Source organism: Homo sapiens, chromosome 18 (genome assembly GCF_000001405.40).
Source record: "Homo sapiens chromosome 18, GRCh38.p14 Primary Assembly".
Classification (NCBI taxonomy): Eukaryota; Metazoa; Chordata; class Mammalia; order Primates; family Hominidae; genus Homo; species Homo sapiens.
In genome coordinates, this window is record NC_000018.10 from 69,751,683 (window position 1) to 69,774,508 (window position 22,826).

The 22,826-nt window shown below is 37.1% G+C and overlaps 1 protein-coding gene across 3 annotated transcripts in view; it reads left to right on the top strand.

Annotated features, from left to right (window-relative positions):
• DOK6 (docking protein 6) overlaps window positions 1–22,826 on the top strand; it is a 448,200-nt gene that overhangs the window by 350,795 nt on the left and 74,579 nt on the right. For all 3 annotated transcript variants that reach the window (NM_152721.6, XM_017025610.2, XM_017025611.2), the window contains one exon: window positions 6,074–6,191. In NM_152721.6, coding sequence (NP_689934.2) covers window positions 6,074–6,191 — 118 coding nt within the window. The remainder of the gene's footprint in view (window positions 1–6,073; window positions 6,192–22,826) is intronic.

The window sequence follows — 22,826 nt, forward strand, 5'->3', positions numbered from 1 at the left end:
TACAAAACATTAAATAAAAAATAATAAAATTTGCACAAATGGCCGGGTGCAGTGGCTCACACCTCTAATGGCAGTGCTTTGGGAGACTGAGGTGGGAGAATTACTTGAGGCCAGGGTTCCAGAGCAGCCTGGGCAACATAATGAGATCTCGTCTCTACAAAAAGGAAAAAAAAAGTGCACAAAAAATCATTACCTTAAGAAAATATACACAAGCAATACTTTATGTAAAAAAGGAAATAAAGCTACAATTTACAATTATATAATTTTAGGAGAGAATACCTTCTATTCTACTTCATTCAGAAGCAAATGCTTTTATTAAACAAATACAATTTTAATTAATACTTAACTTGAGAAGGTAAAAAAAATAGATCAAGAAGATAACCTAAGAAAAACAGCAGGTGGAAATTAATTAGCACAAGCACAAAATATAAGAACTGAAAAATATGAGTTATTTACATAAATGAAAACACAAGTCTCTCTAAAAGATAAATATAAAAATATAGAAACATTATCCAAAGTAAAACCCAAATATATAAATTCAACATATGAAAGGACTTATAAAAATGTATTTTTTTAAAAAATCCTACAAGAATTTGATGGTTTTGTATTAAAATGTGAACACCAAATAACCTTAGGAGAATTGATGACTTTTTAGGGGAACAACGGTCATAATTCTACTTATACATACATCAGCTAAAGTCCCTAGATGGCATAACTAACCTAAATGTTTAAAATTTTTCTCAAAATTTTTTAGTTTTGAGATTTTTTAGTTTTTAGTTCCAAAAGAGCAGAAATAAGTTAATGCCTTTCAGTATGGATATAGTGAATACATTTGGGGCATAGCAAGGTAGTCCTTTGTATTATTCAGGGTCCACTTAAGTAAATGGAGCCTGTGATAGAGAGTTCAATGAAGGAACTTTAATACAGTAATTTAGATTCAAGAGATAGGAAGAGTAGAGACAATCAAAGATTAGCAAAAGCAGGAAAGATGCTACCAGCCCTGCTTCCCTTGCCTATTAGTTTCATGGATGTTGGCAGAAAACACAAAAAACTCCTGAGTCAGAGACAGAGGACTTGATTCCTGAGGCACAGCGAGCATCATGAGTTTCATGCTTCCATAGGTTTCCCTGGTCCCCTGGTCCCACGGGGTCATGTGGAGCAGCCAGGGTGGATGGTGCTGCATATTACCACAGCCAAGGGATCTGAGTTAGCAACTCCCCATCTTATCAGGGGGCTGCTAGCAACCCTGCCCAGCCTTTGCCTTGGAGGAAAATAGGATCTGTACTGTCCTGGTCAGGAAACAAATCTGCCCTCTGCCTGGAGGCTGTTTGCTGTACAAACATACTTGAAAAGATAGTAACAAAAGTGCAAAGCCAGAGTGACACAGGACTCATTGTTTCCTAAAAATGACCTTTTCAATGAAATGTGTTCAAAAGAATCTTCTGAAGTTTAGGGGAGGAAAGAGAGATGAGGATTGGAATCTCTTTGATATCATCTACGAATCTCAAATATTTACAAATAAAAGATAAGTGTATTTATATATTGCCTAAATGGGAAAAACACAAGGAACCCACCCTTGTTTCTATCTTTACAAGAGCCCTCTAAATCTAAACCTCTTTTCTGGTTGGGGAGAAGGGTCTATTCTCATCAACTTGAGGACAGCATAACTCTCATTTGTGTTATATTCAAACAAAGGTATCAGTGCAGTCTCCATACAGCACTTAGGGGCTAAATTATTTTCTTAGACTGTTGGCTTTGTGATGAGATGTGTCGGTTGTCCCTCTCAAATAAAACACAAATGTTTTAACTACTCTCCAGGCTTATTTGAGCTGTGATCTCTACTCTTTCTAGATGCTAACTAACTCCTGATTCATTGCTCATATCCTAGAAAACTGACTGCTGTTTCAAAAGAATAGAAGGAAGAGAGAGTTAGAACCAAAAATGACAAAAAGTGATGGCAAGTATATCAAGAACTGAATCAATGCCTCCTAATCTAGTTGATTTCTGTATGTATGCCAGAGCATCGTTTCTAAATCCTGACCCTATGCAAAAAGGAGAAGCATCGCCTACAGGAAATAGTCTTATAAATAACAAGGGAATTCTGGCACAAAGATTGCAGAATTTTGTATCGCTGTTTGAGACTTTTTTTTTTACTAAGTCCACTGAAAGAATCAATACAGCAGACCCTTGCAGAGAAGGAATGAAAGAACTTCAAACACATGTATCCATCTTGTTTAATTTCTTAAAATACATTGTTTAGAAATAATCTCATAACATAATTTTTTATATAAATATTTATTTGCAATATAAGTTGCCTTATATATTTTGTTGATATACATACTTTTATGGTCCTAAAAATCCTCCTGGTCAAATTGATGCATTGCTTTTTCAATGAAGGCATTACTATAGCATTTTAAGTTTTGTTTTTTCTTAATGCTTTTAATTGAAGCATTATAATATGAAAATAGTTAAGGATGAGTTTTAATTAAATAGTTAAGGATGTGTGTCCTCTTTGTTGAAGCCTGTCATCAAAAAAAGTTTTACACCTGTAATCCAGGCTACTCGGGAGGCTGAGGTGGCAGAATTGCTTGAGCTTGGGAGGCGGAGATTGCAGTGAGCGAAGATTGCACCACACTCCAGCCTGGGCAACAGAGTGAGACCCTATCTCCAAAAAAAAAAAAAAAAAGAAGTTATCAAGAGTGCTTGAAATACTGTCTTAGTCACTGCACAGATCAAACAGGTCAATTTCTAATACATTGCTTAAAGTTCATAACAAAATTAAGAATTGCTGGTTAAATCAGATTCTGCATTTCTTAGATTCCCCATGAGAGTACTCATATTAGTTTGCTCAGCCTGCTATAACAAAATACCACAAACTGGATGGGTTAAACAACAGAAATTTATTTTCTCAGTTCTGGAGGCTGGAAGTGCAAAAACCAATATACCTGCAGGGTTGGTTTCTCCTGAGGCCTCTCTTCTTGACTTTTAGATGGGCACTTCCTTGCTGTGTCCTTAATAGCCTTTTCTCTGTGAATATTTATCCCTGTGTCTCTTCCTCTTCATCTAAGGGCACAAGTCCTATTTGATTAGGGTCCCCACACTTATATCTTCCCTTAACCTTCATTAAGCTCTTTAAAAGCCTTGTCTTCAAATATAGTCATTTGGGGGATAGTGTTTTAACATATGAATTTGTGGGGGAACACAGTTCAGTCTACAGCAGTACTCAATACATAGGTACACATGGGGAATGGACTCTATTTTAAAAGTCCAGGGGAACATTTAGACATCTGAGAAATGGGGGACTAGATTTGTATCCCTGGCAAAGATCCCAAGAAAATCCATGATCAATTTTTTAAATACAAATTTTCCATTTTTCAGCAATAAATTATGGAAGTAGAATAAGGAGAAACCTAAAGAAATAGAATATCATTAAAAGCATCCTAGAACACGAAAACAATGAAGAGGGAAGAGTAGAGAAACATGAGGCGTAAAACAATACAGGGTGATTCAGAAGCAAATCATGTGGAAGAGTTATTATCCAGTGGCTTCCAATTATATTTCCAGCAAACAAAAAATGCTTACTCTATTTCCCTGATGCTTAAAACTGACCACATTTGGGAAGAAAAATGTCTCCCAGAATAAAAAAAAGAGAAGAAAAAGCACTTTCATCACATTTTGGAAAGATTAATTTACCATCAATGATCTACTGTATGCTGAGTAATAAACAAATTATAATACATTAGAAAAAGGAATAAAGAGTAGACAGTAGGCAGAACGGTGATTAATATGAGACTGAATCTATGGATTGTTGTTATTAATGGGCATTGCTGACATGAATTGAAGATTTATGTGTTTAATTAAGTTTATGCCTCATATGGGAAATTGGCTTTAAAGACGAAAGTCCTATCTTTTCTCCTAATAATCCTTTCATAAAATGAGCCTGGCCTCTAGTTCTTTATGGTGGTGGATGATGGACTTCCATCCATATGAGGGTGTAATGCACGTTTTTAACGTGCATAGCTCTACCTGCAGAGTCCCCCACTGTTAGGTCCGGGGTAAAACTGGAGACCTCCATTGTTGATGCAGGATTTTTTTGCTCCTTAGTTCAGCTAAATCCAGGTTCTTGTCTCACAACCAGGAAAAATTAGGCATGTGAACACATTGAAGGGTGAGGAAAGCAGAATTTATTAAGCAAAAGGGGAGCTCTCAGCAAAGAGAGGGGTCCCCCACCAGCCAGCTCCCACCTCACAGATTGAACACAAGGCCACCACACAGGACCTGAAGGGGCCAGGCTCCTCCCCTGCATCAGGTGTGATTTCCTGGTGGCTCCGCCCCATTTTTTCCAGTGCACATGTGGGCCCTTGGTCTGAGCCACCCCAATTCATTTCCTTTACTACGCATGTGTTAAGGGACAGAATATTTTTTACGTGGGCTTGTTTAGACAAGTCCCATATGAGCAATGACCTGGGTGGGTCAGAGGTTCCCCGGGGAGCCTTCCTTATCTGCCTAGCCATTTCACCGTCTCCTGCCGTTATTATTGTTACCAAACCACCCAAAGATTCTGAAAGCACTACTCTATGATAACCCAGAAACTTGTCTCCTTAGAACCCCACCCCTGTAAACACCAACCACAGGATGTGGATGTGGATAGTTCACCTGTTTATGTAATAAGCAGGAAAACTTTGAAGTCTACCAAATTTTGAAAAACAAAGAATGGCTGCAAAGTTACCATTGGGAGCCATCTTTAAAAAAAGAAAGATACCTCAACAGTCCCAGACTTTTAAATAGACTGAGTATGGCACTTCTGTGACAAGACGTAGCAGCTCGAGAAATGCCTTACTACTAAGAAAGTAAAATGAAATAAGTAAGTTCAAGCTCTATAATTCCACTTTCTATTAAAATGTAAGAACCTCTTAGTTTTATGTGGCCTTGAACGACCTGGTGTGTCATATCAGGTACTTTCCTGATAGCATCTTCTATGAAGGGTGGTAAGAGTCAAATCCAATGCTGGATGCAGAAGTATGTGACCCATCCAAGCATCGAGGACCAGGCACGGGGTGTGCAGGTGCACCGTGGGAGGTACACACCACAGTAGCAGAAAGGCACGCAAAGCCTAGATTTGACAGAGATGATCTTTGCAACTCAGTTTTGCCAGGAGTCAGGCATTACATAAAGAGAAAATGTGAGATTTTATTCATTAGAGGATTGCTCATTGTCTGTCAAAAAGTAAACATTTCCTCAGGTTGGGTCAGAGACATGTGTGCCGAGACTAAATAAAACCATTTCTGCATGCTTCTTGAAATTATTTCTGCATTAATAAAAATAAAGCTATTTCTTGGAAGTCCAATGTAAACTATTATTTTCTTTGAACTAATCATGTGCCGGAGCACGTGATATTGTGTGAATCTTCTCAGCAATCCTTAAAATGTATGTTTCGAATAAACAAACATGCCACAGTTTTATCACAGTGTTTCTCAGAGAATACCTTTTTTAATATGTACAAGATTCTATAACAGGGGCAAGGAAAAAGGTCTATTTGAGAAAATATCCATTGTGTAAGGTTGGGAGGAAGTGTAAGGAAAAATGTTTAGCGATTGAAATGGGTAAAAAAAAATAATAACGGGTATTCTGTAAACCTTTCATGGGTCTCTGCTTCTGAAGCAGCTGGCACCTTTACTTTTTTAGTTATTTTACAACTCTGTAAATTGTGGAAAGCTGAGAGTAATGCAAATAATTCTTGTCCATAGAAATGTAAATAACTTTGTCAGGTGGAGTGAGTACAATTGATCATGCCCTGAGTGTTTGCCAGCATTCCCCATTGCTACAAGTCATTGGAATCATTCGTACCATCTTAATGTTCTCTTCTTAATTAATGAGTAAAATTGTTTACAAGTATTCCTTTCATATTTTTGAGTAATGATTTTACTTTAAAAGTTATCCTTACACCGGGGATCATGCAGGTATCTATAGCAGATTCTATCTGTCACTCACATTTAACCCTGAATATTTAGAAGAGCAGATTTCAGTTTAATATTTTAAAACGAGGCCTAAAACACATTCTTTTCTCTTTTAGCTTCAGACAAGCTTGACTGAACCAATGACATTATCCAAATCAATATCTCTTCCTCGCAGCGCGTACTGGCATCACATCACTCGTCAGAACAGCGTTGGTGAAATCTACAGTTTGCAAGGCAAGTCACTTTAATGTAAGAAAGCAGTGCCTCCATAAGCTTCCTCCAGGTGGACTGAGTCATGCAAATTGCTTTGTATTTGCATTGCTTGCTTTTCCTCCCATTCCCATTTATCAGCTGTCACTGGCCACAGTGGGAGCTCTGAGATTTACAGTGGCTTTTTAAAAGCTATCATTTCATATACTCATGGTAAAAAATATTTCAAAAATTACTGTGAGGGCTAAGGACCCCATTTGGCACGAGAACTTGACTAAAACATTATACCAAGCACATTATCAGAAGCTAAAAGCTAATGCTGAGATCTGCTTCATGCTGTTGTTTTATGAAGGATTTCTTTTTTCGCATCTTTTTTTCCTTGAAAGGATTCAATATCAGTTCAGGAGGCTGACTTCAGGCTTTAAGGCTCTGCCATAAACTGGTATATAAACCTACCCATGAAAGTCTTAAAGTTTAGTCAAAGCCTTAATACAGAAACCATTCGGAAAGGGTGCAGGGTAGAAGGGGCCACATGTAGATACTTTGCCTTTGTACTTTTTCTAATGATAAACGGTCAATTAGCTAGCATAGGAATAGCTTGCCAGATGAATCAAATTAATAGCTAGCAGATTTTTTTTTTTTACTAACAGCAGCAAACAACCCAGCTTCAGCAGTTGTCTTCCTGTTCCTTCCCTTTTGTTTTAAACTGAATAATCTTACCCTTCAAATAAAATATTTGATTGGCTACAAGCAACTGACTAACAGCTAGCCAACACTGGAGGAAGCAAGAAACTAGAAACTAAGAAAATAAGGCTGAAACACACACAGCCAAGAGCATTTACTCATCCAACAAACATTTATTGAGCACCATAGGCTTGAATGTAATAAGCATCCAATAAAATATCTGGGGAAAGTATGACCAAGTATGACCCTCTGGTAGTTAGACATTCAGACTGTGTTTTTCTTTCACACATTAGCTTTTGCTCACTATTAACAATGCTGTAAGTTTTGACAAAAAGAAATATTTCCGTTGCAAGCAAACTGAAGTAATGTGTTTTTTATAGCAATATTTGCTTGCCAGGGTTTCCAAACTAGACTAATGGAGTTCGATCATGGAAATTAATGGTTAAAGATATGTTCTACAAGGCAAAGCAGTTGGAATGGTTTTAGTCAATTACTGAAGGCAATTACATTTTATATTGTAAAGGGACTCTCTTATGGCCAACCTGACTGCCTGTATTTAAGAGTTATTATCTTTGTTATTTGTATGATAAAATATTTAACAGAATAAGGATTAGAGGGTTAAGAAAAGTGAGGAGTGGAGACTGGTTTGGCAATTTCAAGAATCGGAAAGAGAAGACGAGTATCTTATGCTTTTATTTCCCTGTTCAAATGCCAGCAGCCACACACTCAAATTGCCTGAGTCATGATCATGCAAAATTAACCTTGCCTATTTCTGGGATGAAAAATAATTTGAAAGTATGCTTGTAATATAAGATTTTTATTTAAACATATGTTTAAATATTGATATTCACTTGAAAACAAACTATAAAATGTTTAAATGAAAAAAACTATCAGATTTCTAAGCAATAAAAGTGAGATATTAGTGCTCTTAATACAAAAAACGTGGGAATAGGTCAGAAGTAGTATAATAACTCTAGTTTTTGTCAAGGGTTTGGCCTATAATTCCAGAAAATAAAAACTCTTGTTTTCATGGTAGTATGAAGGAAACGTTTTCTGAAGACAGAGCTAAGATTTAGACTGATACACAATTTCTGCAATGGCTTTGCATCTGATAAAAATTAAAATGCACTGGAATATCCTAAAACATTGCCAGAGACTTCTTGAAGGAAGATGTTGATTTATATGTTGTATAGATATAATAACTGATTGAAATACTCTCACTGATGTTAACTTGCAGCAAAGTTAAAGGCTTGACATGCCTTTTCAATTACAATTTACTTAATCTCAGTATTTCATGTTTCTCTGGTTGGTTGGTGATGATTACAGAGTGAAAAATATGTATTGACTAAGGTAATTACTTAAGTCAAATATTTATAAAATGTATTCAACGGAAGTTACGTTTCACTATACTGTGGGTTTACTTTTTGTACTGTGTGCTTCTTAGAGCAATACGTTTTACCACCCTGTATACCCCTCAGTGTTATAGATATAAAAATTTAAGTATCCAGATAAGGGGATAGATGGTTGATAGTAGGCAGGCATATAATATAGAGATGAATAAATAGATAAAGTTGTTAGTTATACTTTGATAATGGTCACGTATTTTATTCTTCCTTCGTTCGGTTGTGATAGTCAAAACAAGTAGAGAGCAAGGAGCCTCAGTAGTTTTTTTACTAGGTGCTAGTCCCTAATGGAATCAGGGTAGAATAAAACTATTGAAAATAAGGAAGAAATAAAAAGAGAAATTCAGAACCTCAGCACCCTTCCACGAACACGTACGTTTTTCACAAAACTACATTTAGAAGCCTAGTTATCCACTGAGTGCGGTGGCTCATCCCTGTAATCCCAGCACTTTGAGAGTTTGATTTTTTTTTCCCCCAGAGCAGAAGCGAGAGTTTATTAAAAAGCTTTAGAACAGCAAGGGAAAGAAAAGAAGGAAAGTTCACCTTGGGAGAGAGCAAAGCAGGCGCCTTGAGAAACCAAGAGAAGGAAAGTTCACCTTGGGAGAAAGCAAAGCAGGCGCCCTGAGAAACCAAGTGCGCAGCTTGACCTCTTGAATTCGGGTTTTATACTTCGGGTTGGCTTACTTCCGGGATCTTGTATTACTTCTCCCTACTCCTGAAATCTTATTGGGAAGCTGCTGATCAGTTTCAGGTGTTTTCTATCTAGTAGGAGCCTGCCTTTCCCGGGGGCCGGTTGTGACCAATTATTACTACTCCTGAAATCTTATTGGGAAGCTGCTGATCAGTTTCAGGTGTTTTCTATCTAGTAGGAGCCTGCCTTTCCCGGGGGCTGGCTGTGACCAATTATTACTACTCCTGAAATCTTATTGGGAAGCTGCTGATCAGTTTCAGGTGTTTTCTGTCTAGTAGGAGCCTGCCTTTCCCGGGGGCCGGTTGTGACCAATTATTACTACTCCTGAAATCTTACTGGGAAGCTGCTGATCAGTTTCAGGTGTTTTCTATCTAGTAGGAGCCTGCCTTTCCCGGGGGCTGGCTGTGACCAATTATTACTACTCCTGAAATCTTATTGGGAAGCTGCTGATCAGTTTCAGGTGTTTTCTGTCTAGTAGGAGCCTGCCTTTCCCGGGGGCCGGTTGTGACCAATTATTACTACTCCTGAAATCTTACTGGGAAGCTGCTGATCAGTTTCAGGTGTTTTCTATCTATTAAGAGCCTGCCTTTCCCTGGGGCCGGCTGCGACCAATTATTACTACTCCTGAAATCTTACTGGGAAGCTGCTGATCAGTTTCAGGTGTTTTCTATCTATTAAGAGGCTGCCTTTCCCTGGGGCCGGCTGCGACCAATTATTACTTTACCAAAACAGTTAACAACCGCCTGACCATCAGCTGATTGTTGCCCAACACTGCTGGTGTGTGTTGGGAGTGGGGCTTCTCTCTCTTGCTCTGCTCATACATGACTAGCTACCTGCTGTAACATTTCTCACCTCAAGAGTCCAGGACCTCAAATCTTTGGATGAAGGTCTGTCATCCAAAATGGATGACTTCTGTTTTCTGTAACTGCTTCCTGCTGACAGAGGGGTGGTCGTGGTCGGGTGGATCTTGGCTCCTTGCTACCCGTCAGGGCTGAGTTGGCTGCATCAGTTGGTGAAAGTGGTATCCAGCCAAGTCCAAGGGAGACAGGGGCAGGATTTCACCACTGTCTTGTCCCACTGATGGGAAGTGCAGAGGTCCTCTCTAGAAGGGTGACTCTTGAATATTGAGAGGATGGTTTTCCTCACTGAGGATTGTCTGGAGCTCAATGGCCACTAGGAAGGTATCTGAGTCATGTGGACCAAATATGTTAGCAGTGGCAGATATCCGAGTTACGCAAGTTACCGGCAGCGAATCCATATGGGTCCACAGCAACCTCAGTCCTTGTCTCTTCAGAAGAAAGAATTCTACTGAGGGGCATAAGGCAGAAGGAGAGACCTAGGCAAGTTGCAAAGCAGAAGTGAGCATGTATTAAAAAGCTTTAGAACAGTAAGGAAAGGAAGAAAAGAAAAGAAGGAAAGTTCAACTTGGAAGAGGGCCAAGCCGGCAACTTGGCAGAAGGATTGCTTGAGCCCAGGAGTTAAGACCAGTCTGGGCAATATAGTGAGACTCCATCTCTGCATGCATACATACATACATACATACATACATACATACATACATACATATTGCAGGGTATGATGGCACACGCCTGTAGTCCTAGCTACTCTGGAGGTTGAGATGGGAGGGTCACTGAGCCTGGGAAGTTGAGGCTGCAGTGAGCCATGATCACACCACTGCACTGTAGCCTGGGCTAAACAGTAAGACCCTGTCTTAAAAAAATATTTTTTTAAAGTCTAGTTATTTTGAATCTCGCTTTTTCAGCTGTGCTCCTTGAAGTGGCATTACCTCTTCTTTACAAAAAGGAGAATATCGTCAGCCAACTGTCATCACTGATTTTGCCAAATCAAAGTAAAAGTCTGGCAATGTGGGAATATATCATTGTCAAGTAAACTGCAGGTAGCACTGAGGAATACAAATATATCTTTAGAATTTTCAAATATTTTTTAGGTGAAGCTGAGATCAATATGAATTAAATTTAGCAGACTACATTCAGAAAACAAAAGCAGAAAACTTTCATATATTTAAAGTTTAAGAGATTAAGATTCATTAATAAGCAGCACATGTACTCAAAGTTTTTTAAATGCATGGCGTGGTAACAAATTCATTCTATAGTAAGACACCTATAACTTCAGTTGTCTGTCAGCCTCAAAGCTTTGACTTAGCTCAGTTTTGCTGTATTCATTTCTCTCATCCATTGCTAGATACACACGTAAAGATTGACATAGCAGGACAGAGATCCTGCATCTACCTTCATCTTTGGAGAATGTCTAATGGTGATTAAAAGTCAAGGTGAGAGCCTTAAAGTAAGAAAAAGTCAGTAATCTGATTTCCTTGTTTTTTGTTTTCTTTTTCTTTCTTTTTACCCTTTCCTGTGCTCCCCTCCTCAATTGGAGAATAAGAATCTCCAATACAATCTGCCTCATCTTTCCATGCTACGCCCAGAAGGGTGCTCTCAAAGAATAAGTTAATGTGATTTCCCCATTGTATTCTAGTAGTCTGGAATCAAAAGAGTGAAAAAGGGAATAATTAGCTTCTAACAAGCACATGTTGTACGAAGTACTTGGCAGCCACTGTTTAAAAATCTCTGTCCGTAAGTGGTTTGTAGCAGGTTGAGTTATGCCACCTCTTCTTGCAGAAGTGGCAAACAGACATTACTTTTCTTTTTTGCCAGAGTATCATAAGGATAGTTGATTTGTATTTGAAAGTAATTTCTTATTTATACTTCTCTAACTTCCTCTGTGCTTATGAAAAATGTTTATATCACGCTCATACTAGAGATGTTGTCTCTAGACTGAGGGAAACCTAAACCGTAAAGGGATGAACATGATTTTAAACTCGCAACTCTGAAGTGAATACATACTATTTGTTTTAATATTCATACAATTGTATTTCCAAGGCGTTGGGAAATGTAGTAGTAATGTTTTGAAAGCCCTGAGGAACAATCATTTAAAAAAGAGAAAGAAAGAAATACAGAGAAGTTGAGGAGGGGAGCACAGGAAAGGGTAAAAAGAAAGAAAAAGAAAACAAAAAACAAGGAAATCAGATTACTGAGTTTTTCTTACTTTAGGGCTCTCACCTTGACTTTTAATCACCATTAGACATATTTAGATGACAGGCTATACAGCAGGGTTTTTAAGTCAGGATTTGTGAAGATGACAAAAGCATTTATTGAAAATGACAAATCAAACCAGTAAAAGCCATTGACGGTACCAGGTGTACTGCAGGCACTCAGTAAAGCCTATTGAATTCTAAAGTGAATTAGCAATGCATTATAAAGCATACATGGAGATATGTGACATCAGGACCACATCCTCCTCCATGAGGGTGGACCTGAGAAAAATTCTCTTCTATATCAAGGAATCATGTCTAGTCCCACATGTGAGCCCCATGCTCTTGCGCAAGGTGAGGTGTTTGTTGGCATTTCTGCTTTTTGCTTTAGGATCATTTTGACTGAGCACAGATACTTGCTACTACTAGTCTTTATTTTCATGAACACAGGAAGGACTGTGAAATGCTAGATCTGCCCCTTTAACATGATGGCTCAAAATCCGTCTCTCTACACCTGCTGCCTTCTCTCCGGTTAGTTCACGTTCTTCTTTTATAAACTAATGGTGAGAACGAGGGCCAAGAATATGAGCTGAACACAGTGCCCAATGAGCAGGTTTATGGGACTGCACGTGATGACTAAACTTTCTCTGATGTATGATGATATGGTCTGGCTCTGTGTCCCCACCCAAATCTCATCTTGAATTGTAATCTGAATTGTAATCCCCACATGTTGGGGGAGGGACCTCATGGGCGGTCATTAGGTAACGGGGGCAGTTCCTCCATGCTCTCCTTGTGATAGTGAGTGAGTTCTCATGAGATCTGATGGTTTCATAAGGAGCTTTTTCCCCTTCATGCTCCAATTCTCTCTCCTGCCACCACGTGAAGAAGGATGTGTTTGCTTCCCCTTCCGCCGGGATTGTAAGTTTCCTGAGGCCTTCCCAGCCATGCAGAACTGTGAGCCAATTAAACCTCTTTTCTTTATAAATTACTCAGTTTCAGGTGTTTCATAATAGCAGCTTGAGAACAGACTAATACATATGATAATCCCTTATTTTCACACAAAATAACGTGGAATATACTTTGACTCCTTTTTTTTAAACAGCTTGAACAACTACACTCTTTGAATCAAGAATGATTGTATATACCATTTGTAAAGGTCGTAGCTTTAGGAGTTCTGCTTTCAGTAACACTGATTAATATCCACAGGCCAGCTTTGCCTCTGTATATCTGTAATTAAGCTACAGACCACCAATGTCAGCACGGACACATACCTAATCACCAGAAGGCATTTGACGCTCACGGAAAGGGTGTCTGTGGCTTCATTTTCTCAGAAGGACAGGATGGAAATAGGCAATTAGAATTAGAGATAACCTTCAGAAAATGGTAAATAGAGTTCTGCCATAGATTAAGGAGGTAAATCAAAGACTTTGTTTCCTCTTTGCTCAGCAATGACCTTCTGTCCTTCTCTACTGTCCAAACTGCATTGTATATAAATTGCTTCTATTGAGATTTTCTATTTTGTTTTTCAAGTTCAAAGCTAATAAAAGCCTCTGATAGCCAATTTTAAAAAATATAGAAATTTGCAACAGAAGTAAAATGAAGCCTGATAGCCATTTGGCAACAGCCATTAAAACATGAGCCACTTTCTAGAAGCAACACTTCTGTCTATTAAACCTTATTTATAAACATTTATTGTATGCCCATACCTTAAGAAAGGTATGTCAAAGGCAGGAAATGTATCCCTGGATGTCAATTTTTAGAGATAAATGAATTGGTTATTCCCTAAAGCAGACATCATAAAAATGCACAAAACATTCCCACTGTGAAATGATCCTCACATCCTGCAGTCTTAATTAATCACCTGCTTTTCCGTGCTCCCATAGACATTTGTGTTTAACTTTATTAAATGAATGTGTTTATTTACAAACCTGCTTATTCCACTGGATTATGAGGCAGTAATTTTGTGAAAGATTTTATCAAACAAATTTTGGGGCTCAATTATCTTGAAGATGTTACCCCTAGAGGTTAAAATCTTGAGTTCTGGAGTCAAATATACCGGAGTTTGAATATTAACTTTACCACTACTGACTGATGTGATTTTTGGGCAATTTACTCAACCTTTCTAAGCTTATTGCTTGATATCTAAAAGAAGATAGTATTATCTCCCATGATCTCATTAAAAGAGATCATCAACATAAGATGTCAATATTCAATAATTATTAACTATTATTAATATATTAAAGTACAGTTGACCCTTGAACAACATGGGGGTTGAGGTGCCTACCCCACCCCTGCACAGCTAAAACCAGTGTATACAATAGCAAAGACATGAAATCAACCTAGGCGCCCATCAACAGTGGATTGGATCAAGAAATTGTGGTACATATACACCATGGAATACTACCCAGCCATAAAAAAGAATGAAATCAGGTCCTTTGTAGCAACATGGATGTAGCTGGAGGCTATTAGCCTAAGCAAATTGAACAGAAAACCAAATACCGCACATTCTCACTCATAAGTGGGAGCTAAACATTGGTTACACATGGACATAAGTATGGCCATAGTAGACACTGAAGAAGGAGGAGGGCAAGGGTTGAAAACTAACTATTGGGTACTATGCTCACCACCCGGGTGATGGGATCAGTCGTAACCATAACCTCAGCATCATGCAGTATACCCAGCTAACAACCCTGCACATGTACCCACTGAATCTAAAAGAAAAGTCGAAATTGTTTATTTAAAAAAGAAAATCAATGTACAACTTTTGACACCCCCAAACTTAACTACTAGTAGTCTGCTGTTGACCAGAAACCTTTCCAATAATATAAATAATCAATTAATGCATATTTGGGTTTACACGTATTATATACTGTATTCTTACAATAAAGAAGTAAGCTAGAGAAAAGAAAATGTTATTAAGAAAATCATAAAGAGGAGAATATATATTTAGTATTCATTAAGTGGAGGTAGATCATTAAATTGAGTAGGTTGAGGAGGAGGAGGAAGAGGAGAGGCTGGTCTTGCTGTCTCAGGAGTGGCAGAGATGGAAGAAAATCCACACATAAATGAACCCATGCGGTCCATACTGTGTTGTTTAAGAGTCTGCTGTAAACCAAACTCTCACTATGACGTTTCTTTTTTCTGGCAGAGGCAGATAGGCTGTCCTACTCCTATTTATTCCAGTGTTGACTTGGAAATATTATTACAGAGTTCTTACTGTGCTTGGGGAAATTTGTTTGGTTCTAAGGACTATGAAAATCTGGCTTTAGGCCAGGTGTGGTGGCTCACTCCTGTAATTCCCACACTTTGGGAGGCTGAGGCAGGCAGATCACTTGAGGCCTAGAGTTCGAGACCAGCCTGGCCAACATGGCAAAACCCTGTCTCTACTAAAAATACCAAAAAAAAATTAGCCAGGCATGGTGGCTCACACCTGTAATTCCAGCTACTCAGGAGGCTGAGGCACAAGAATAGTTTGAACCCGGGAGGCGGAGGTTGCAGTGAGCCAAGATTGCACCACTGCACTCCAGCCTGGGCGACAGAGTGAGAAAGTCTATCTCAAAAGAAAAAAAAAATCTAGCTTTAATAAATGGTTTCTAGTTTTTAAGGTTTTAGAAAAACTAAATCTAAGCTTAACTCTCACTCTAAGTTTTTAATACAAGGAAAAAAAATTCAGTCTGAAGTCTTCATTTAAGTTTTTTCTTCTCATCAGTGAGTATAAACAAGACATGGCACCTTAAACAGATAAACCACCTCTCCCATGCCTTATATTGCTCAGTCCAGGTAGCCTAAGGCAAACTATAGCCTCTTTTCCAACCCAAGGTTTGCAGAACTCATGGAAGGACTGTGTTTAGCTCAGCCCAGTGCAGAGGAGAATGCCCCCACCCAAACATACTCATCCACACCCACCCTACCACTTACCCTCCCACCCCAAATCAGTTCTTACTAATTAGCTTACCCTAACTGCCCAGAAGCCTTTCAGAGACCTTTCTTCCTCCATGAGGCCCCAGCCTCTTTCCTAATGTGGACTAGCTTTCTCGAGCCAGTTAATACTACACTGATTCTCTCTCACAGTGCATTCTACTGGCTGGACTAGAGGCGAGCAACAAGATTTACATTACTAATTGAATTCTTCTGCATCACCCAAATTAAAATCCGAAGAGGACTCACAGTGCAAAATATACCAAATCAGCCATTTAATCACTTTTTACCAGATATGTACAAGTAATTACTAAAAGATAAAAGATGAAGAGTTTCCAGATGTTACACTGGATTAGTATAATCCACCAATGGTTTTATTAAAATGAATTGCTTCACTCTCTTTAATTCAAATTTGGTGGAAATTAAAATCTCTGTTCAGTCTCTATATTTTTCTCCATCAAGCTTCCCCTACTGAATTTTTTAAATAAAAGAAGTAACATACTGAGTTCTCTATTAATCAAATTTTGTGGGGAATATATATTAAAGGCATGTCAAATAAATTATACATATATATTCGATTTTATTCAGAAGGGAATAAACAGTACATAATATTAGTTCAGGGAAATGTCAATACAACCAGATTAATTAATACAGACAAATGTTAATACAGACAGATTTTAACACAAATGGATGCTCAACTGTCTTTGTCATGTATATGTATATACACACACAAACACATATATACACAGAGAAAGAGAGGAGCATCTGGTTCACCATATATGGCTTCTCATATACTTCCCTCAAACATGTATGTATTAGGCTAAGCTTCACAAATTGTAAACTACAAAGAAGAACCTAGAGGGAAAAATGTTCAATTACCTTTTTTCTCCTTGGTCTCTATTTCTTGTTTGATTTTTCTTAATCTCATCTCTGTCTCTGGCCCTTCAACTAAATGTTCCCCATCCCTAATTATAGGTTCAATACATGTATTTTGAACAAGTTTTCCTTTATTTTCCTCTGCGGGCCAAGCAGAATACGGCAGAGACTTGATAATGATTGAAAGATAATAAAAGATGAGAAACATCAGGAAATTAACATCCTTAAAATTACACTTGCCAGAGAATAAACTGCAGAGTTGATGTTGATTTAAGCCTGGATATGTCCTTCACATCTAGCACAGTGGTGGGCAGGTGTGAAGAACCTCTTTGAAAGTTCTAGCACCTGCCAGCTGTCCAACAATTAATAGACACTAACTGGAAATTTGTTGCTTCGAACTTCGAACCACCCAATATTTTGAAACTCAGGAGCATGGTTATATGTTTATATAAGAGGAATTTATGCTAAGATTTGAAGGGTGTGCGTGTGTGTGTGTGTGTGTGTGTGTGTGTTGAATGCCTGTATTTAATTCAGGAAGAAGAATGTAGTTTGGGAGTGCTCTTAGAAATTTTTGGTTGCCATTGCTATATTATGTTGGTTTGGTAAGAAGTTTAAAACTTTTGTGTTATTTTTTGTTTTACTATTCATAATATTAGAAAGAGGAGTTTGATATGAAACTCTCAGTGACATAGTATGTCATTTATATATATGATTAATGATAAACATTATCAATGTCTTTTACATATATGTAAAATTATTTTAGTACAAAATTTCTTACTGACAATTACAACTCTAAGACAAAAGCTGCACTTAGTTTTTTATTCATCAGGAAAGTTCATTCTTCCAGATAAACATGGAAAGTTTCCTCTCTAGTGTATATTTGAAGAATAGCCATTGTCTGTGGCTCTATCATTTCCAGTTTAGGATTCTGTATGTGCTCAAAAAAGATGTTGTCTAAGAAACATCCTGTGCTTGTATCTGTAACTCTAATATGATGAGTTGAAACTTTTCTTTGAGATTGATTTACCATTTATAAATTTCTTTTTAAAATATTTTAAAAATTGTCCAAACTTCTGATAGTATAATTTAGCATTGTTCTTACATTTACCAAAAACCCACATTTTGTGCAAAAACAACAACATAAAAAGCAAATTATAGAGCATAATCAGTTTTACTGTTTGAGGATATCTCTACATTAATGTCCCAGCTTCTTTAGAGGCATGTCTAATAAACTGCTGTATATAAAATTAAAAATCCCAATAATTAATTTCCTAATCTACTACTTATTTCCTGGATCTCAGCACTGAATTCATCCTTCTGAAAGCAGTGAGACACTAAGAGTCAGGAAGCCAGAGATCTCACCCCAGTTCAGAATTTAACAGCCATTCAATGTTCATTTAACTTTTCCAATCGGTAAGTGGGTGGGAGTGAACCACTTACCAGATTTCAAACAGATTGCATGGTCTGAATAGCAAGAGAGGAGGTGTAACATGTTTGAAAATTTTTGTAGGAAGAAGAAGGGTATTTTATTGAGCAACCTTCTATGAACAAGATATTATGCTAGGTGTTATCACAAATATAATTTCATGTAAACCACAAAAACCCCTGAAAGGGTAGATCGTTAGGAGTGGCGTTTTTATAAATGGAGAGAGGTGGTGTCATTTTCAGCTTGGCTGATATTTACTCAGCACTTGACAGTTTCATGATATTTAATCTTCCCAACAACTCTCCAAGGTAGGGGCTATTATTGTCCCCATTTTACAAATAAGAAAACCGTGGCACACAAAGATAAAATAACTTGCCAAAGGACACAGAGTGGGATTATCAACGCAGGCAGTCTTGATTTGCTAGCTAGATTGTCACTTGGATAGGAAAGTTACATAACTACCTTGAGGCAACAGAGTTTAAGCAGAGAGAAAGAAAACATGTATAATCTCTACCCTTCTGCCCAAGGACATTCTCTTTGAACTATAATCAAGGTTTACAAGAATGATTCTTCTGAAAAGCAAGCAACAGCTCTTCTCAAATGTGCTTTAAATGAGACAACCCAGATGGAAGCCATCTAAGCAATTTGTGTAAAGTCCGTGGTGTCCAAAGATGACTTGTATACAGTTTGGTCACTGCTTTTAAAAATCTCGTATAACAGCCTTGCTCTTTTTGTGGAACAATTTAAAGCACACCGTATATGTAAATTAATGGGTTTAACTCGTGAGGGTTGCCATTACTTTTCATTATTGCTTTTCCAGCTTTTTAACTAAGCTTTATAGCACATTCAAATGTGTTCCTCCCTCATTTCAACTTCTTTAGAAGTGTCTTATTTTGGAGATTTCAGAATCACTTTTCCTGTTGCAAACCCCTTCTATTTCTTACACTTTCCACTCTCCTAAATATTTCCTTTTCTTTTCTTTAGGCATTAATGCTGACATATGGAGCCTCCCTGTTGTTATTCCCTGTTGTTAGTTCATATGACTTCCATAACAAAAGTGTAAATGTCTTCTTAGACAAGCTTTATTTCCCTTAAACAATTTCTGTACCTTCCATTGAAAAGTAACTTTTTAAGTGAAGGCAGTATGATATCTGAAAATCTGATGGAATTCCAAGGTATAAATACATTAAGTTTAACTGAAATTAATAGTCAAATTTATAAATTGCAAAATAAATATAGCCTAGTTGAGAAAACTCAAGACATGAAGAAATATGTGAATAAAAAGGTAAAAATCATCACTACCATATATTAACATTTTTAAATATGGGTATAAATACATAGATAAAAGTATAGGTCAAGATAAAATTCATATATGTATTTATAAAATTAAGATCATACTACATATGCACTTACTTGCTATGTTTTTGTATTCTGGTAGAATTGAAACAAAGTCTAAGTGGCAATTAAGGGCTGCATAATATTCTACTGCAAACTCTAGTTTATTTAACCATTGCTCTATTGTTTAGCATGCTGTACCTTATCCTTTGCTTTTTACTATTATAAACAATGTTTCAGTAAGCACATGTGTATATAATACTTTATACATTATACATATTATATGTGTATAATGTTTATAATAACATTTCTAGGAGTGGAATTGATTTTTTTTCAATCAGAATTTATGGGGCTGTGTCAGATCCTGGGGATGTATCTCATTTACAGAGCGCAAAATCACTGTGGTCACCATCTCTATGTACATTAGCATCTTATTTTTTAAAAAGGCACATAGCTAACTACAGCAGATTTATTAATTTGTTCATTTATTTATCCATTTACCACCTATGCATTGAATTGCTTTATGTCCTATTTCTAGATAGCTGAAGACAGAGAGATGAAGAAAAGAAATTAGGTATTTTCCATGAAAGTAAATACCAAAAAAATTAAGTGAAGAAAATAATATATGGGATAATTTCAGACCTTGATGAATGTTATAAAGAAAATACATCAAAATGATGACAAAGATAAAGGAACACTTAGGAATAAATTTAAGGATATGAAAGATTGGTACACTGAAAACATAGAACATTCTAGGCAACACACTGAGACCTCAGTAAAAAAAAAAAAAAAAAAATGGCTTTTAGGTGAACACCTTTAGTCCCAGATACTCGGGAGGCTGAGGTGGAGGATCACATGAGCACTGGAGTTCCATACTACAATGAGCTATGATTGTGCCATTGCACTCGAGTCTGGGTGACAGAATGAGACTCCATCTCTAAAAAATAAATAAATAAAACAAATATTGAGGAAAGAAAGTAAAATAGATACAAATAAGTGGAAAGACATCTTGTATTCACGAGTTGAAAGAGTTAATATTGTTAACATGTCTATACTACTCTAAAGCATCCATAGAGTCAATGCAATCCCCAAAAAAATCCCAAGGTATTTTTCACAGGAATGGAAACAATTAGCAAATTCATGTATCACCACAAAAGACCTCAAATAGCCTCAACAATCTTGAGAAAGAACAGAGCTAAAAGGATCACACTCACTGATTTCAAAGTATATTACAAAGCTCCAATAATTAAAGCAATATGCTTAAAACAATAAAACATAAAGTTAGACATATAGAGTAATGGAACATAATAGCCCAGAAACAAATCGCAACATTATAAAGCCAACTGATCTTCAGCAAGAGTGCCAAAAATACACAATGGGGAAAGGATAGTCTCTTGCTGGGAAAACTGGATATCCACATGCAAAAGAATGAAATTGGACCCCTATCTTACACCATGCACAAAAGTCAACTCAAAATGGTTTAAAGACAAAGGTTAAGGCCTGAAACCATAAAACTCCTAGAAGGATAAGCTTCAGGCAGTGGTTCTGGCAATGGTTTCATGAATCTGACACCAAAAGCACAGGTAACAAAAGCATAAGTAGGTAAGTGGCATTATATCAAACTAAAAATCAACTGCACAGTAAAGAAAACAATAAACAGAGGAAGCAGTCAACCTGTGGAATGGAAGAAAATATTTGCAAACTGTATATCTGATAAGGAACTAATTTCTAAAATACATAAGGAACTCCTACAACTCAATAGCAAAAAACACCTACACTAATTTAATTTTTAAAACAGCAAAGGACTTGAACAAACATTTCTCCAAAGATATACAAATGGCCAATAAGTACATGAAAAGATACTCAGCATCACTGATCAGCAGGGAAATGCAAATCAAAATCACAATGAGACATACCTTCACACTTGCTAGGATGGCTAATTATCTAAAAAACAAAAAACAAAGTATTGATGAGGATATGGAGAAACTGGAACTCTTGTACACCATTGATGGGAATGCAAAATGGTACAGCTGCCATGGAAAACAGTATGAAGATTCCCAAAACAATTAAAAATAGAAATACATAAAATCCACAGCTCCACCTACGGGTATTTATCAAAAAAAATATGAAAGTAGGATCTCGAAGCGATATTAGCACTTTCATGTTCATTGCAGTAGTATTCACAATAGCCAAGATATGGAAACAAATGTTTGTTGATGGATTAATGAAGAAGGAAAATGTGGTATAAACATACAATTGAATATTATTCAGCCTCAAAAAAGATAGAAATCCTGCCATATGCTACATCATGGATGAGCCTTGAGGATGTTATGCTAAGTAAAATATGCCATTCACAGAAGGACAAATATTACATAATTCAATTTATGTGGAGTATATGAAATGGTCAAATTCACAGAAGCAGGGAACAGAATGTGCTTACCAGGAGCTGGAAGAGGGAGAAATGAGGAGTTGCTGTGCAACAGGTATAAAGTTTCAGTTATGCAAGATGCACACATTTTACAGATCTGTGCTTAGTTAACAGTACTGTGTTGTACACTTAAAAATGTGTTAAGACTCTTGGTGGGAATGTAAACTAATACAACCACTATGGAAAACAGTCTGGAGACTCCTTAAAGAACCAAAAATAGAATACCATTTGATCCAGCAATCCTACCATTGGGTACCTACCCAGAGGAAAAGAAGTCATTATACAAAAAAAAGATACTTGCACATGTATGTTTATAGCAGCACAATTTATAATTGAATGTGGAACTAACACAAATGCCCATCAGTCAATGAGTGGATAAAGAATTTGTGAGATATATATATATAGATATATATATATGAGATAGATTTATATAGATATATATATGAGATAGATTTATATAGATATATATATGAGATATATATATATATATATATATAATGTAATACTACTCAGTCATAAAAAGGAATGAATTAGTGGCATTTGCAGCAACCCGGATAAGATTGGAGACTATTATTCTAAGTGAAGTGACTCAGGAATGGAAAACCAAACATCATATGTTCTCACTCATAAGCGGGAGCTAAGCTATGAGGATGCAAAGGCCTAAGAATGACACAATGGACTTTGGGGACTCAGGGGAAAAGGGCGGGAAGGGGGTGAGGGATAAAGGACTACAAATTGGGTTCAGTGTATACTGCTCAGGTGATGTGTGCATCAAAATCTCACAAATCACCACTAAAAAACTTACTCATGTAACCAAACACTCATTCCCCAATAACCTACGGAAATAAA